This window comes from Homo sapiens, chromosome X, assembly GCF_000001405.40.
Source record: "Homo sapiens chromosome X, GRCh38.p14 Primary Assembly".
In the NCBI taxonomy this organism is placed as follows: domain Eukaryota; kingdom Metazoa; phylum Chordata; class Mammalia; order Primates; family Hominidae; genus Homo; species Homo sapiens.
The window spans coordinates 105,821,123-105,838,699 of NC_000023.11; the positions used below are offsets into that span (position 1 = coordinate 105,821,123).

A 17,577-nucleotide genomic window follows, 5' to 3' on the forward strand; every position below is an offset into this window, starting at 1 on the left:
GGCTGTGGCCATTACACAGCTCACTGAGACTTGAAAGTTAAGGAATGTAAAGAGGTCAAACTCTGGCATTGAAACAGACAGGAAATAAACAAAATCTACCAATATGTAAAGATATTACAGAAATTAGAAGAATGAGTCAGAAATGGAGAGCTCTAGGTCAGTGGGAAGAATTATTCGTATAAATCTTCTTAGAAGAGGTAGGTAATTATTAATCAAAAAATAAAGAAAGAAACAGGAAACAAGTCCCCCCACATCGCTTTCCGACCCCGGAGTTAGGGTGCGCAGAATGCCGTCTGGGAGCTCCAGAGAAAGTAAGCAGTGTCGGGACATTTACTAAAGTGCTCTCTGCAGAGCATGAGTTTAGAATGCGGTTAGTTTATGCACCGACTCCCCTTCCCAGGAATGTTTCAAGGGGCTCTTTCTCAAAGCTGAATCACGTTTGTGAGATTCTTTTAAGCCATATGTCAGTCCCCCAGCGCTTTAAAGGAAAACGGAAGCAAACAACTTGGGCACTTGGAAAAGTTTTGCAATGAATGAGCGAATGAATGAAACCCGGCCGGAACGCTGGAGGCTGGAAGGGATGCAGGAATTTTCTCCGCGCGCTGCGAATACGGCATATGCAAAACTTAGGACCCAGGGCAGGCCGGGCTTTGGAGACGAGTCAGTCTTACTCAACCCTGCGCACCTGAGAACAGGTGCTGTTCTGAGTGAACGACTGGGACCTGGCACGAACTAGCCTGGGGCCAGAGGAGATAAGGCCTGCCGGGAGAAGAGTTCCCAGCGGCTCTGTCCATTCTGCTCTTGCCCTCGGCTAATGGCTTTGAAGGCCAAGCTGTGACAGCCCCGGGGCGTACTCGGTGCCTTCCTCTGTTCAAATAGGTGCTCGCCTAGGACTGATTCCCAACCCATGGCAAGTCATTTCCTTCTGTAACTCGGTAGGTCTTTGCAAGAAATGGAGCGATAAAATCAGAGGGACAGAAAGAGAAAACAGCCAACTAGAAAAGTCAGAAGTGTTTCTTGGGAAGTCTAGGGCGCGGGTTGTTTGGACTGTGGCAGGGCTGTGGGGCCCAGACTGGGAGCGGCGCGGAGCGAGACCGGTTTTCCGGGGCTGGCAGCTGCCTGGAAAAAGTTTCCTGTGGAACACTCGCCAGCGGGGGCGGGGGCAGGGGCGGCTGGCGCAGCAGTGGACGTGGGAGGGGGCAGGAGGGCCGGGGGAGGCCGCGAAGGGCCTGCTCGCAAACCGTTATAGTCCTTCAGCACCTCCCTCGGCCGGTGGCCCTCCTAGCCTGCCTCCCCGCCGGGCGGCTGCCCACCTGGCGACGTGACGCTGCACCAATCCCTTTCGAGCTGCTCCCGGGTCCCCTCTCCTTGCACCGCCCCCCTCCCCACCCTGAAAGAGGCGCACCCTGACGGGGCAGACACAGCGCTCTCGACACGGAGCACCCTTCTAGCTTCTTCGTCTCCAGGACTGACGCTCAGGCTCCTCTCTCGCCTTAGCCCAACTTGCTTTCCCGCCTCGCAAACTCCGGTTTCCCTCCACTCCCAACTCTTTTCACTACACGTTTCCCCTCCTCTATCTCCCACGCCACGAACCCCGATCCCCAGACTCCTCTCTCCCGCCCTCCTCCTTCCTCTCTCCTCCCTTCAACTCTTCATCCGCTTCCACCTCAGACTCTGCGCGCACCCAATTCAGTCGCCCGCTCCCGTTCGGCTCCTCGAAGCCATGGCGGGACCTGGGGGCTGGAGGGACAGGGAGGTCACGGATCTGGGCCACCTGCCGGTGAGTAGAGGACGCCCGTCGCCCCCCGAAATGCTCTCTTTTGGCGGGTTCTGCGTACCAGAGGGAGGGAGCGGACGCCCTCAAAACGGGCTAGACCAGGACTTCGACGGGTCCCCCGGGCGCGGAAGGGGATCCTGGGAGCCGGCATGCGGAAAAGGCGCCCCCTGGGCACCGGGACCGCACCAAACTCCAACGAAAGGCAAAGGCACGGGGCGGTGGGAAGGAGAGACAGAGAAAGAGATGGCAGTGGGGTGCTGCGGACCCTAAACAGCGGGGCATTTTAAATATGTGACCCGCCTTGTCTAGCGGAGCTCCAGTACCTGTCCTAGCCCGCTCGTTCCAACAGAGGTCAAAAAGTGCAACGTCGGGTGGCTTCCTGAGAGTACTCCTCCTTCCTGTTATCCCGCCGCCCCATCGTTTGCTGCTTCTTTTGCCATGGGAGATGCTTACTTGCGGGGTGACCTTTACTTTAGGTGACAGCGACTAGAAAATTAAGGCGTTTGAGTCCCACTTTTCTTATTTTCTAATACACTTTCTAAAACCTTATTCTTGCCAGGGCAATGTTCCTGATTTAGTGTTGTGAGAGTGAAAGAACTCGACGCCTTTTGGGGAAGGAGTGAATTCTGCACACTCGATTTTTTTTTTTTTTAATATTGTGTTCCTTACCCAACCAGATTTAGCTTTTTCTTGTGGTTTTCATTTGTGGGCTCATCTTTTCCCGAATGCCCAGCTTCCCTCTAGAGTTGTAATTGATTGGTAAGCTATTATCGCCGTCGTAATTAGTAGACTTATTATTTTGGCAGCGCAGTTTATTTCATTGGCATCTGGTTTCTGGCTAATATTGGATCCCACCCAAATCCGTGTTTCAAGTTCCCTTTTTAGATTGGCATTTCACTCGCACCCTGTCTTGAATGCAAAAGGCCCCTGGATTCTCCGAAAGGGAATAAGCAGGCACCGCGCTGGAATGATCACCAGGCAACTGTAGTTCAGGGCAGTGGCCTGCTTGCTTTGAAAAAAGCTAAATATTAACCTTAAGGTTATAGGACTATTCAAAGTCGATTGACTTAATTTTACACATATTTGGCATTTAAAGAATGTGTTTTTGATTATGACAGAAGCCTGCCTCCCTCAAAAATAGGGCATTCCCAAAGCCTTCCCTATATAATTTTACATTAGATGCTATATGTGGAGAGGTAAGGTGGTACACATGGGTAACATTTTACCAAATTGTTCTCTGCCATTTAAAAAAAATCAGTGCAAACTTGAATTACAGATATTAGTGTTGCAATTATTTATGCAGCTTCATAAAATATGTCACAGAACTTTTTAAAATTAAATCTTTTCTCATTCTGCATGCACCCAGAATTTCTTCCTTTCAGTGTGCATACATGAGATTTCCGGAAAATGGAGGCCTCAATTGGTGGTTTCCTTTCTAAGCAGAACTTTCATATTCAGACTAGATTTGCACCCAAGTAAAAGTATAAAACCAAGGAATAAAATGTTACCCTTCCTCCAACATTCTCTGCCTATGATTGGGAAAAGAGAAAAAAAGCAAACTAGGGCAGATATGTGAAACTGTTGCGGGCAGGTGGGCAAACTGAAATAAACTCCCTTCTAAATATGACTAAATGGGTGAGTGGTAAAGACGTCATAGAAATGATAGGACAGGGAATTCCAAACCCAAGGAAAAAAAGAAGAAAAGGTTTTACTGCCACAAAAAAAAAAAAAAAAATGTGGGGAAATGGCCCAGACTACCTGACCCGGTCATGGCCCTGGGACATAAGAATTTGGTGGAGCCCAGGAGATAAGAGGAAAGTCTGCAGTCTTTACATTGCAGTTCAGTGGAATATTAGTTTCCTGGAGGTTGGTGGAGTGGGTGTGTGAGGAGCGTAGAAAGATAAGATTGGTTTTTAATGTAAGGGGAGTAGCGAGAAGATACAAAACTTCAGGACATTGATGCTTGGCCTCATTTTCCAGACTTAATGAAAGTCTCATAAAGTCCTCAGATTCTAACAATTTCTAAATTTTATACATTAGCCATTTTGTCTCATGTGTGGGTTTTCACTCTCTGAGCAAATTATGCATAATTCTCCCCTGTCCTCAAACACCCTGATTCAAACCCTAAGAAATCTAGCAGAAGAGCAGTAGCATGCCCTTTAGAATTTTCTTTACTATCAAATTTTTAGTCATGGAAAAGTTATTGTTGCTTTGGTCACTGAGTTATATTTTTCAGCGATTTGGGGTTTCTTTACATTTGATTTATTTTCTGACTTTTTGAAGAAATAAAACCAAATGAAGAGGTGAAGAGACATCTTAATCACTTGTGTTGAAGTTTGCATTTTGATGCAAAGTAGAGTTGATAAAGCAAGTAAAGAAACCTTCATATGATGGTATCCCTTGCAGTAATTATCCTCAATAGGACATATGTGGAGGTCAGAAAATTGCCATCTGTAAACACCAAGTATACCAATTTGGCAACAGCCAGACAATGAGGGAAGATTCAAACATTGGAGTTGCAAACTGAGAAAAAACATTCAGAATGTGGAAGAATAAATAAATATGACTCTAGTTTAAGATTGATACATTATGTCCTTTGCAGGCCTAGCCAGCTAAATGACCACAAGACAAAGACCCTTGAGGGAGGATAGACTTGCTTTACAAATTGAGAATTGAAGAAATTGGTAGGTTATTTGGTATTTTTGTTATTAGATAGATATTATTTTTAAACCTAAAAGAGTAAACAGGAATGAAAGCTAGGAAACAAGAAACGGTGACAAAATTATATAACTTTCAACATTAAAACATTCACTTTTATACAATGATATAACTTTTTCACGTAATGCACTAAAATCAGAGACAAAATAAGAGAGCCAATGTAATTACAATAGATCAATTCCATTATGTTTGTTAATTAATGGGTTACTGTAATTTTCTGATTTTCTATTGAATAAATATTTTCTATAGGTGAAAAAACAAAAAAGGAAGTGCAGAGATTTGTGGTTTGTGTTTCCTTTCTGAAAAGAGAAGTACAAAGCTTTATGTCTTTATATATATCTTTGTAATATATGTGTGTATGTATATTCACCTTGCCCACCAGCAATACCTAGGGATGTGCGTGTATGCCTCTCTGTCTCCGTCTCTCTCTCTCTCTCTCTATATATATATATATACACATACACACACACACATATATACATATATATGTTTGGGTGATATATATATATATGGTAAGATATATATATGATTATATATATATGGTAAGATATATATATGATCATATATATGTGATAATATATTATCATATATATAATAATATGTGATAATATATTATCATATATAATATATATGATAATATATATTTCATATATAATATATATGAAATATATATTATCATATATATAATAGATAATATATATTTCATATATATAATAGATAATATATAGTATATACATTATATATAATATATTATATATATTATCATATATATAATATATATATAATATATATATATTCCTAGTATGCCTGTGTCCTTGAGACTGGAAACTATTTCTTCCTCTCCAAATCTGTCATGTCTTTCACTATGACTATCCCCTTTGCCTTCTGTGCCCAGTATGGTAATGACATTCCTCACGGCTGTGGCCTTGGTATTTGACACTGCCATGTGCAGTCCTAATCTATATTGGGGTCAGGATTAGACAGGCCTTGAGGGGACAGTAGTGGCAGAGGTTATCTGAAATAGCACATGATCCAAAAACTATATTTGAAATACATTAGGCTTATATTTAAATATAACTGCCAGCTCTACCCAGACCAGGCCTGCTATCCACATTTGGTCATGAGAAATTTCCCACTTTACCAAGTTCCTTAGCCCCCTGTTCAGAAGCAGTTTTACCTTCATTTCAGTTAACTATAATTGAAATATTCAGCATAATCCTCAATTACATATATATAGAGCATCACCTCTGCATAACACTGCACATCAGTTTATTTTCTCAGTCTTTTTTCCAGTTTCTAGAGCAATGGTTTTCATATGGTAGTGCACAAGAACAGCGCACAAAAATCAAGAATAATTTGGAGATTTTGGGACCCATGATCAAAAATTCTGATATCGTAATTCCAAGGAATCTGTATTTTTAACAGTATTACCCAGATGATTCTCACGTAGCGAGAGTCTATACAGTCTACAGTTTGAGAAACACTGGGCTGGATGAAGAGATTTCCCCTTTAATGCCACCATGTAAATTGTGAAGCCCATTCCTCTGACTATCTCTGAAACTCACTCAGGCACTCATCTTGCCATATCCATCCCTTTCATGTTCTCTCTCCATAAACTCTTTTCATAAAATTGCTGTTTCTAATATTACAAATAAAAGGAGGAAAGCCTCTGCTGTCTCCTTCAAGGTACTGTGCAGTCTCCTTCTTTTTGCAGCCTGACTGCTGGAGCGTGTTTCCTCACTCTCCTTTACTATCCTAAATTTGAAATTTCTTGCTACTCATGTTGACCATTTTTGGTTCCTTTTTCTCCTTAGTCTCTGCCATATTTGGTTCTGTGGATCAGCTTCTGCTTTGAAATTCTCTCCCTTGACCAGTTAACACTGCTTTCTATTGGCTCTTTTCCTTCCAGTTACTCCCATCCCTGGCTTTTATTAAAATTAGCCATCAAGATGGTCTTTCTTCCCTGCCCTTGAATTCAGGAGACAGAAACGACTCCCCAGAATTTGAGATTTCAGTGGGCAGCCAGACTAGGACTTTTAAACTGCAGGAGATAATTTAGATGCATAGAAAGAGATAACGAAAGTACAACAGGTTTGTCTAACAGTTTATGGTTCAAAAATGTTTTAAGACTTAGATTTTTAGTAATTTATTGTAAGACAAACTAGAAATTAGTTTCTTCTTTACTGACCATTTTGTATACCCAAATGGGACATCAAGACATACCAAACCCCCAAATAATCTCCAAATTGGTATAGCAGTCATAGATACGAACATCTACCTTCTGGTTTTCTTATCTCAAGGTGGCAGGGCAGAGGAAAGGACCAAATAATTATGGAAACCCCTCTGACGTGGAACTTCTATTTTCACAGTGACCAAAAAGATTGTTCCTTTCCAATTCTTCCTTCCTTGGAAACCCAGAATAAACTTGCTCTGACTGTAAGTGCAAAATATATGAGGAATTTGGCGTTGTTAACCTAGTATTAAGCATAGTCCTTCTCCTCTTTTCCCCAATTTAACGTTTAGTCTTGAAAGAGAGTAGCATGGAGATGGGGAACAAAAATAGCATATAGAACTAAAGAAAACAATATAGTCTTAGAATATATGAATACTAAGTTGAGCTGCCTTTAAGAGGAAATTTTTAAAATGTTCTTTTATTAAACATGAGTATGAAAGATGGTTTGGTCATTCGAGAGCAGAAATCAAGTTTCCCAACATAGATATGAGGCCTCCATGAATTTTGACGGGCATTTTATTCTAGTCCATTTCCTTGGTGTCTTTTTTGAATAATTAGGTAACTGTATTCAAATCAGGGTAAAGTATTTATGTTATTGAGGACTAGAGAAAGGAATAAAGAAATTTAAGACTGTGCTCAAAGATTCAAAAATAAAGCTTGTACAGATGTTACAATAATTCTCTAATATATGGTATCTTTTCCAGCTAAAATGCAGCCTTAACTATAGCAAAGAATAGTTTACCAATAGGAATCAGCTAACATGTTTGATTATTTTGACAGATGGCCAAAGACTGTTTCTCCAGAATTAACAATGTCTAAAATAAATCCCTCAATGATATCCATCACATAAATATGCTACAGTGATAAAGTCTTCAAGTCAGTCCCTAGTAACTTTTTTGTTGGCTTTTCTCTCATAAATCTTTCAATGAGTTATAACAAAAGTGATATGCTTAATAATAAGGGTAATATAATGATCTATTTTTACTTCTTAGATCCTAAAAATTATCATTTTAGATAAATTACATGTTCGTTGGGAGTATATTTCTGGAACTATTTCTTTGAAATGATAACTGTGTATTGTGATCTTAACTTTGATGATCATTTTGAAAAACTAAGCTGCTAGGCTGCTGCTTTATCTAACAATGCTTTTATCAATTCAGTGGAAACATCTAGATTTTAGAATGACTGATAGACTATGATTTTTATCTGTAGAATTTTAGAGCTGGGAGATCACCTATCACAAGACTTTTATTTTATGTATGTGAAAACTGAATCCCAGAGAGAGTAAATAACTTACCCAGAGTCATATAGTTAATTAATGGTAGAGCTGGGGCTAAAATTCAAGTCTTCTGACTCTCTGTCCAGTTGAATACTTATTGAATGATGTAATCCCAAAGCTGTGTCATTTTCCTATGACAGTTTTGCTAGATTACACAAATATCACGGCAGTTTTAAGGAGTTTATAATTTCATTCATCTAAGTTGCATATGCTCAATAGTTTTCCTGTTTAGCTTATATTTATCACAGCAATAAAAATGTTTTCAAACAGGATTAAACAACGTTTGTGTATATAAAATAAACTTTCAATAAGGTATGTGAATTTCCAAGAATTTGCCAATGTTCTTACCACTTTGTGTATAAATTGGCATCTACTCATGCCTTATATAAGTTTTGCTAAAATAGCAAAATAGGCTGCTAGACTAAAAGTTCAAACAGTGATAAAATTCAAGAAACCATATTTTGTGGTGAACAATCAAGGAGTACCCATATTTAAAGGTAAGAAAACAATACTTGAAGATAAATATGGAAGCCTCATAACTCTATCCCAAAACATGTTATGTTTTGTTTCCTATGATGCCACATTTAGGGTTAAGCCACAGAAAACGTCACTTTGTGCCATGAACAGGTATTTAGCAGATGCAAAGTTTAACTTTTAAAAAATTGTCTAATTTTCTTAAAATGATGCTCTTTTAATATCATGATCTTGCTTTGTTATTCATATTTAGTGATGGTATTTCTTTTTTAAGAGCTGTTACAGGTTGGTGCAAAAGTAATTACGGTTTTGCCACTATTCTAATGCCAAAACCGCAGTTACTTTTGCATCAACCTATAATTCAAATAAGTAATCTAAACTTTGTATCCAACATCTAGTCATCATTGTTGCATGTTAAATTTTCTGCTTGTCTAGTTATCACTCAAAAGAATAACATCGGCTGGGCGCAGTGGCTCATGCCTGTAATCCCAGCACTTTGGAAAGCTGAGGCGGGTGGATCACGAGGTCAGGAGTTCAAGACCAGCCTGACCAACATGAAGAAACCCCGTCTCTGCTAAAAATACAAAATAAGCTCAGCTACTCGGGAGGCTGAGGCAGGACAATCACTTGAATTCGGGAGGCAGAGGTTGCAGTGAGCCAAGATCACGCCATTGCACTCCAGCCTGGGCAACAAGAGTGAAACTCCGTCGCAAAAAAAAAAAAAAAAAAAAAAAAAAAAAAAGAAGAAGAATATTAAAAGAGTACTTCCATTGCAAATAAATGAACTTATTTCTATTTTATCTTTCTAATTACATCATTAATATGCCTCAGCCTTACATAATTGTGTGCATTTTACAGTTTTATGATAAATAATTACACGACTACTTAATGTCCATACTGCTTATTCTTTTTTATGAATGAGTATAGTCAGTTCAAGGAGATTGTGACATGTCTATTATTTTGGTAAATGACATTTAGGTTCTTCCCATGTAAATTTTAACAGAACAAGGCAGATTGGAAATACCACTTAAGATAGTTGAATGCAGCCATAAAAAAGGTAGAGTTCATGTCCTTTGTAGGGACATGGATGAAGCTGGACACCATCATTCTCAGCAAACTATCACAAGGACAAAAAGCCAAATGCCACATGTTTTCACTCATAGGTGGGAATTGAACAATGAGAACACTTGGACACAGGAAGGGGAACATCACACACTGGGGACTGTTGTGTAGGGGGAGGGGGGAGGGATAACATTAGGAGATATACCTAATGTAAATGACGAGTTAATGGGTGCAGCACACCAACATGGCACATGTATACATATGTAACAAATCTGCACGTTGTGCACATGTACCCTAGAACTTAAAGTATATATATTAAAAAAAAGATAGTTGAATGCTCACCTAATTTCCTAAGAAGATTAACAATTTTTATTTTACTTTTTTGCAGGATCCAACTGGAATATTCTCACTAGATAAAACCATTGGCCTTGGTACTTATGGCAGAATCTATTTGGTAAGTTGACTTACATTATTTATTCATTCTTCATTTTCTAATGACAACAAAGATTGTGAGTCAGACACTGCAAATCACATAATGCCAAAATATGGCATTTCACTTTGAGAGAGAAATCAAATTAGATAGCCCAGTGACACCTGTAAGAATTACTGTTTATTATCACAAAAGTAATGGATTGGCTAATCTATAGTGTACCAACCAACCAAACATAACATCTAAAAATTAGCAGAAAATAAAGTCACCAATGGAAAATTGAAGTAATTCAAATAAGATATACCCAAATAAGATATCACTTGTCTTATAGTATACATCCATACCATTCTAAATACTCACATTCAACTGAAAACTGAATGTTATTAAAAGGAATGTTTTCATAACATTCTATATCATACTGTGTACTTGAGTGTGCACATGTGTGATAAAATTTTCTAAAGAATCTAACAAGAAAAAATCTGAATTTATTTAGTGATTACTTATGGTAAACACTAAGTATGTGCAGATGCTGTGATAGTCTCTGGGAATAAAATGATGAACAAAGCAGATAAAGTCCCTTCTCTTTTGGGGCTTATGGTTGAGAAATGTATGTGAGTAAGTATGTATATGTTATATGTGTTGGGTTTGTTGGGGGAGCCATACATTACATAAGTAAGCACACAAATAACTGTATACTTCTGTATCTGTGCGTTCCACATCCATGGATTCAACCAACATTGTATCAAAAATTAAAAAAATGCGTAATGTACAGACTTTTGTTCTTGTCATTATTCCCTAACCAATAAAGTGTAACAACTATTTATATAGCATTTACATTGAATTAAATGTTATAAGTAATCTAGTCATCACTTAAATTATACTGGAGGATATGCGTAAGTTATATGCAAAAAAAAATTACTGTGCCATTATATATCAGGGACTTGAGCATGCCCTGATTTTAGTGTTCACGGGAGGCCCTGAAACCAGTCCCCCACAGATACTGAAGGATGACTGTAATTGCAACTGTAATATAAGATCTGTAAGAAAATTCTTAGTGATGTAAAAGCATAAAGCAAGGGGGCTTAATTTAGATTGAAATGTCAGTGTTGATCTCCCACTCCCTGGAAAGGGAAAGTGACCGTTAAACTGATATCAGAAGGATAAATATGAGGTAACCAAGAAAAGGTGTGGTTGTGGAGGATGATGTTAATACATTCTAGGTGGAGGCATGGACAGTGTTAAGGGCTGGTTTGGGGATGGGGTGCTTTAGTAGCCATATCACACTGATCAGGTACCTTTCTATTCTCTAATATGGGGAACTGACATTTTCTCAATCTTGTGTAATGTTCTATATAATTGCAGTGTTCTTTTTCCCCAGGCCTGTTGCTCAAAAACCGGATTACTGTCCTTAGGCTGATCCTTACAGCAGACTGATCACAGGTCCTCCACATATAGGTTGTATAGAGGTGTCCTAGTATAAGCCCAGAGGAGAAGGGGCTTCTTTCTAGTTCAGAAAAGGGTGCCTTTTTTCTTGCCAAGTCTTGCAACTTTGGGACTACATCTACCCAGAGGGGCTTCTTTTCTTATTCATCTGCCCAGGTGGGAAAGGAGTATGCTTTTTAAACTTTGCACAACAGCTCCTATAGGGCCTGGTGCTGTGGCTCACTCCTGTAATCCCAATACTTTGAGAGATGAAGGCAGGAGGATTGCTTGAAGCCAGAGTTGAGATGATCCTGGGCAACAAAACAAGACCCCAGCTCTACAAAAAATTAAAAAGAAAAAGTTAGCCAGGTGCAGTGGGTGTGCACCTGTAGTCTTAGCTACTCAGGAGTCTAAGGCAGAAGGATCACTTGAGCCCAGGTGCTTGAGACTGCAGTGGATTATGTTTACACCACTGCCCTCCAGTTTGGGTGACAGAGCAAGACCTTATCGCTTAAAAAATAAAAATAATAAAATAATAAACTAAATAAAGCACCCATAGCATAGAAACTGAGTAGTAGAAATAGCATGTGGACAGGTCTTAAAAACAGAAAGAACCTTGGTGAATATAGGGAACAGAGGGAATGCTAGTATTCATGACCAAATGTTTTCAAACCATTTTGATCATATCTATTAACAGAACCAATAAGCTATAGAGGGTGATATAATATAGACTGAAATATATTGCTTAGGCTACCTCAATTCCATCCTGTACTGAATGATTATTTAATATTTGTGCGATCTAGGTCAGTTTTGCCACCTTATACATAGATACCTACATCTTATACATAGATACCTACATCTTATACATAGACAAAATATTTATGGTACATTTACAGTCTCCATGGCTGTATGCACATTTTAGTTCCTTAGGGTGTGTGTGTAAGTGTGTGTATATACTTGTTCTGATTCAAATGTATAGAGCCACCAGATGTGAGAAATAAAAGCTCAGAGTCATATAAGGTAAGAAGCAAGGTTAAAATTAGACAACACAGAAAGATGGCTACTCATTATCATTCATGTGATAATGAACTGTGATGGCACCAAAAGAAGAAAAGTAAGACGGTAAAAAGGTAAGTTATGCATGTGAATATCCTTTTTTAAAATCAGGGTTTATTGGGATATAATATATATTTGGTAAGATTAACTCTTTTAAGTGTACAACTTTATGAGTTTGGACAAATGCATACAGTCATATAACTGCCACCACAATCAAGATTTTCAATGTACATCTTAAACTAATCACAGTCTAGATTCAAGGAGTATTCTACCTCTTCACTGTGTGGTTTCCCAACTGGTGTACTCTAGGGTTATGGCTGTCAGGCATTTTGCTTTTACATATGCTACAAACCCACAAAACTACTGTACTTTCCCTATACTTACTCTTTTCCCTGTTTTCACTACTACTATTTTTAAAATTTAGCTAATCAATTATCTTTTACAGCAATTAAAAGTCAGAAAGAGTCTTTTATGTTTATCTTCATTTTAACCATTTCTGGAATCTTCATTTCTTTAGTGTAGATCCAACTTTCCCTCTGGTGTGTACAACTTAAGCCTGAAAAACTTCCTCTAATATTTCTTATAGTCCAAGGCTTCTGAGTAATGAATTATCTGCTTTTGTGTGAAAAGTCTTAATTTCTCCTTCATTTTTGAAAGATATTCACACTGTGTATAAAATGTGGATTGAGAGTTATTATTTTTTTCTTTCTCTCAGCAGTTTAAACATGCCAATTTGTCTTCAGACTTGCATAGTTTCTGAAGTCTGCTGTAATTCTTACCTTTGCTCCTTTATATTTTGTCTCTGGCTTCCTTTAAGATTTTTCTCTTTGTCTTTGTTTTTCAGCAGTTTAAATATGAAATGTCTGGAGGTGTGTGCGTGTGTGTGTGTGTGTGTGTGTTGAAAGGATATTTATCTGAGATAATGGTTAGAGATCTTTGGGGTTCTCTTAGCTTCCTGGACATGTGGTTTGACATATTTCATTATTTGGGAGAAATTTTTGGCCTTTATCTTTTCAAATATTTTTTCTACTCTATTTGCTTTCTTCTTCTTTTGGAAATCCAATTTCATATGTGTTAGGCCTTTTGATATTATCCCTCAGTTCTTAAATGTTCTGTTTTGGAGTGTGTCTGTGTGTGTTTCATTCTTTTTTTTCTCTTTGTGTTTCAGTTTTGATCAATTTTTTTTCTATCTTCACTTTCATTGATTCCTTTCTCAGCTGTTTCAAGTCTACTTATGAGAGAGTCAAGGACATTCTTCAACTATATTACTGTTTTTCATTTCTAGCATTTCTACCTGACTCTTTAATAGTTAACATGTGTACTGAAATCCCCTATTTGTTTATTCATGTTTTTCATATTTTTCACTAAAGCATTTCATGCATTAATCATAGTTATGTTAAATTCTCTGTCTGATGGATTCAACATCTAAGTCATCTCTGAGAGGCTGGTTATGTTGATTGCTTTGTCTCTTGAGAATGTTTTTTATTTTACTTTATTTCACAATTTTTGTTTAAATGACATAGTATGTAGAACAGTAGAAATTAAAGTAAATAGTATTTATTTCTTGAAATGGGCACACTTTTTCAGCTAGGTTGTTTATATGGGAATTCACTCAATCTAATAAGAAGATAAACTACATTTGAGTTATGTTGTTGATATGGTTACTCTCAGTTCACTACCAGCTTCAGATTCCTCTAATACCTTGTGCATATGTGGGGGTTGGTCTTCTGGAGAGTTTTTCTTAATATCCCTGTTCTTTTCTCAACTTTCCATATTCCTTGTGTATCTGTGCTTCAAAGAGGTTCTTGCTCCATGCTGTTGCCCTCCCCTAATGGTATACTGCTATTGCTTCTTATTAAGTTCTCATTGGCCTGGTGGTGTGGGCAGGTAGAAATGCTCTGTTTTTCTGCTTCAACCTCAGTCTTGTAAGATCCTGGGCCTCTGTGTCACAGGAGTGAGACTTTCTTAGTTATCCTTTCCCTCTTCTAGTGGTAGGATACTTCTAATTGTTTGGGCCCACAACTAATTCTTGCCCTTCTCCCAAAATTGGAGGACTTTTTTTTTTTTTTTACCTTTCCCCAGCTGCAGTAGGTCTTCATCTTTACCCTGGGGAGAATACACTTTGCTGCCTTTCCCCTAGGGCTTAAGACTTTTATTCATGAAAAGGAAAGGAACTGGACCTGGTTTCCTACCTTTCCCACTGCAGTGGCTTCTCATCTCCATCAGATCTGTACCATAAATCTGTATGTTTGTATAAATTTGTCCTGTGTCTATGGCTTCCAAGGGTTCTATACTCTCATGCTAACCCACATTTGCTCTTTAGCAGTTCACTAAAAATTTGCATGCTTGCAACCAAAATATCTCATGCACCTCATAAATATATACACCTATTATGTGCCCACAAAAATTAAAAAACAAAGAAAAATTTAGTTGAATTCTTTATACCTGCTTCCGTTGTGACCTTGTCTTCCCTCTACAGCCACAGGTGAGCTAATGCTCATGTCCCATCTCTTTTTGCAGGTGCTTGTCTTTCTCCAGACCTCAGCCTAGTTGGTTGCCTTGAGACTTCTCTATAGATTGAAGAAAAGTTACGATTAGCTAGATTATTCAGCTTATTCTTGTTGTTAGGGTGGATGTGGCACACTTTCCAACTTTCACATCCTCATCAAAAGCAAAAAGTCCATGTTAATTCCTTTTAACTGACTCTTCATGAAGAATATACCATATGCTAGATCCTCCTGTACACATTTATAAATCCTAAGAATTTTCTGTGTACCTACTCAGATCCAGAGATAGAGAACAATTTCTAACATCAGATCTTCCAAGTACAAACTTCCTTGTTACAGAAGGTAGATGCTTAAAAAAACTTCATTTACACCAGAATGATTTCCGTCTGTCACTCATTGACTTTACCTCTTTTTTTCTACCTCTAATTACTATAAAAATATTTGGGATGGTGGTGCTATCCACTGACAATACCCTCATGGAAAACAATCTGGGAGTATGTAAATAAACACTTAAAAATGTTTATCCTCTTTACACCAATAATTCAACTTTTGGAAATATATGATAAACATCCCAGACATAGACAAACATGTAGATATACATTGCAGAAGAAAAGTAGCATATTGTGGTGAAAAAAGGGCGTGCTTTGAACCAGGCAGACCTGATTCAGTGCTTACTTAGCCATTAACTAGCTATAACCTTGAGCAAGTCACTTAACCTAAGTTTAAGTTTCCTTATTTATAAAATGGGGCTAATAATACCTACCTTGGGAGGTGCTATAAAATATCAAAACAATATACATATATGTACACATTTGTAATATTTGGAATATGGTAAATACCTGTTAAACGGCAGTTATTGCCATCATTATTGTTGCTATTATTTTTTAAAAGTTCAATTACAATAGTTTAAAAAGATGGAAGTAAATTACTTTTTAACCAGCTAATATATCATTGTCCTATAAAGCAATATTTATGAAGTTATCTAGCAGCATAGAACTATGTTTAAGATCTTAAGTAAAGTATTCCTTATTATATTTGTGCCCCAGTTACAGCTATGTTAAAATATGCAGATAAAAAATGGTGAATTAACGATTAGAATAGTGAGATATTGGATTTTTTCTTTTCTAATGTCTGTAATATAATATTTAAGTACAGAACATATATATCTGTACGTATATTTAACATATTATATATATGTGTGTATTAGACAGTACCAAATGTTGCATAAATAACCTGTACTGCAAAATAGAAGCATGATACCATTCAAAATTAATGTCAGAGTGACTCATAGAGTCCTTTGCTTTTTCAGTGCTGCCAACCACATCCCCTGCTGGAGTTTGTTTTGGTTAAAGTCTCTCCAATGTCTTCCAGCTTGTTTCCAAGGCTTCGTTCCCTGGCAGGTTTCCAGCTGTCTGCTGAAGTCTGTGCACATTGAAATGAAGGCTGAGTCTCACACTACTATTGTAATCCTCTTCCTTTCCTTCTTTTTCCTCTAATTAGATGCCTATCCTCTCACCCTCTCCCACCTCCTGCCAGTTCAAGCCTCACTTGAAATTGTGGGTTCTATTTTTCTCTCTTTTTAGGAGAGAAAGTACTGGTCTTCTCTTTTTTGCCCCAGTAGAGTTAGAGAATATAGTTTTCTCCTCACCTTTAACTGCTAGTCTCATAGTTTATGGGTCGTCATTTTAATTGGAGGAATGTTTAGTATTTGACCATGTGAGGCCATATTAGAAAAAAGAAAATAGGTTGGAACTCATTTTTAATGGTACTTTTTAAAAAAAGTAATTTCCCCAAGAGCAATAGACACAGAAAGACCACAGTATTAAGAAAGAGACCAAGACCTTTAGGGTGGCAAAATTGGAGGTGGCAACCTGACTCTCCCAGTAACTGACAGTAAACGTGTTTCTTGACTTTCTGGGCCCATTTCTTCAACAATAAAACAAATGTATTAGACTCTATAATCTCCAGGCTTTCTTCTGGCTCTGAGATATTGCACCTAGCACAGTGCCTGGCACTCAGTAAAATGTAACCTATTCTTATTCTTACTGTCATCAGCATAATTATAGTGATCCTATTGTCGCTTCTCCACCTTACACAGTAGAAGTTGATTATTGGCTATTAGCTGGAGTAGTTTCACTTTTTACCAAATAAAATTATTTTTAACATGTTTTTCTATTCTTTTCTTCTGTTTTACCACCTGATAGTGAGACCTGATTTTTAGCTCAGTAACTAATAAGACACTCAATGTGAATGTAAAACTGGGTAGCTGGTATATTGGGAAGGTAGGAATGCTTCATTATATATGTTATCTAACACCATTTTGTTAAGGTTAATACTAGTGAGGTGAGACAATGAATTGGTATCCAGAATGAATGAGTTTGCCTTGGCCCTTCATGAGGTCTTGACTACACCCCTAATATCAGTCACCTACTCCTACGTTACCATTTGCAGGTGGTGAGGACAGAAAAAGGAATGGGAAAGGATTCAAGGCAACCATTTCAAGCAAAGGAAAAATTCACCTGAAATAGAGTAAACTTCTACAGTTGGGCATACAGCCTAATTGCCATGTACGCTGATGCCTAGTTGAAACTCAGTTAAATGCTGGTGGAAGAAAGGGAC

General features: G+C 38.1%; 1 protein-coding gene across 5 annotated transcripts in view, besides 1 other annotated feature; it reads left to right on the plus strand.

The window, feature by feature from the left end:
- Positions 318-1,298: an enhancer, noted in NCBI's record as "H3K4me1 hESC enhancer chrX:105065433-105066413 (GRCh37/hg19 assembly coordinates)". NCBI's record gives its function as "activates a minimal SCP1, AML or CMV promoter by ChIP-STARR-seq in naive H9 embryonic stem cells {active_cell/tissue: H9 hESC(naive)}" and the evidence as "EXISTENCE:reporter gene assay evidence [ECO:0000049][PMID:30033119]".
- NRK (Nik related kinase) overlaps positions 664-17,577 on the plus strand; it is a 136,825-nt gene continuing 119,911 nt past the window's right edge. For 4 of the 5 annotated variants that reach the window (NM_198465.4, XM_006724632.4, XM_006724633.4 and 1 more), the window contains exons 1-2: positions 1,417-1,780; positions 9,932-9,997. In NM_198465.4, the coding sequence (NP_940867.2) occupies positions 1,724-1,780; positions 9,932-9,997 (123 nt within the window). In that variant the 5' untranslated portion in view covers positions 1,417-1,723. Of the gene's footprint in view, positions 936-1,416; positions 1,781-9,931; positions 9,998-17,577 lie in introns of those variants that run through there. The other variant, XM_011530887.4, reaches the window with a different exon arrangement.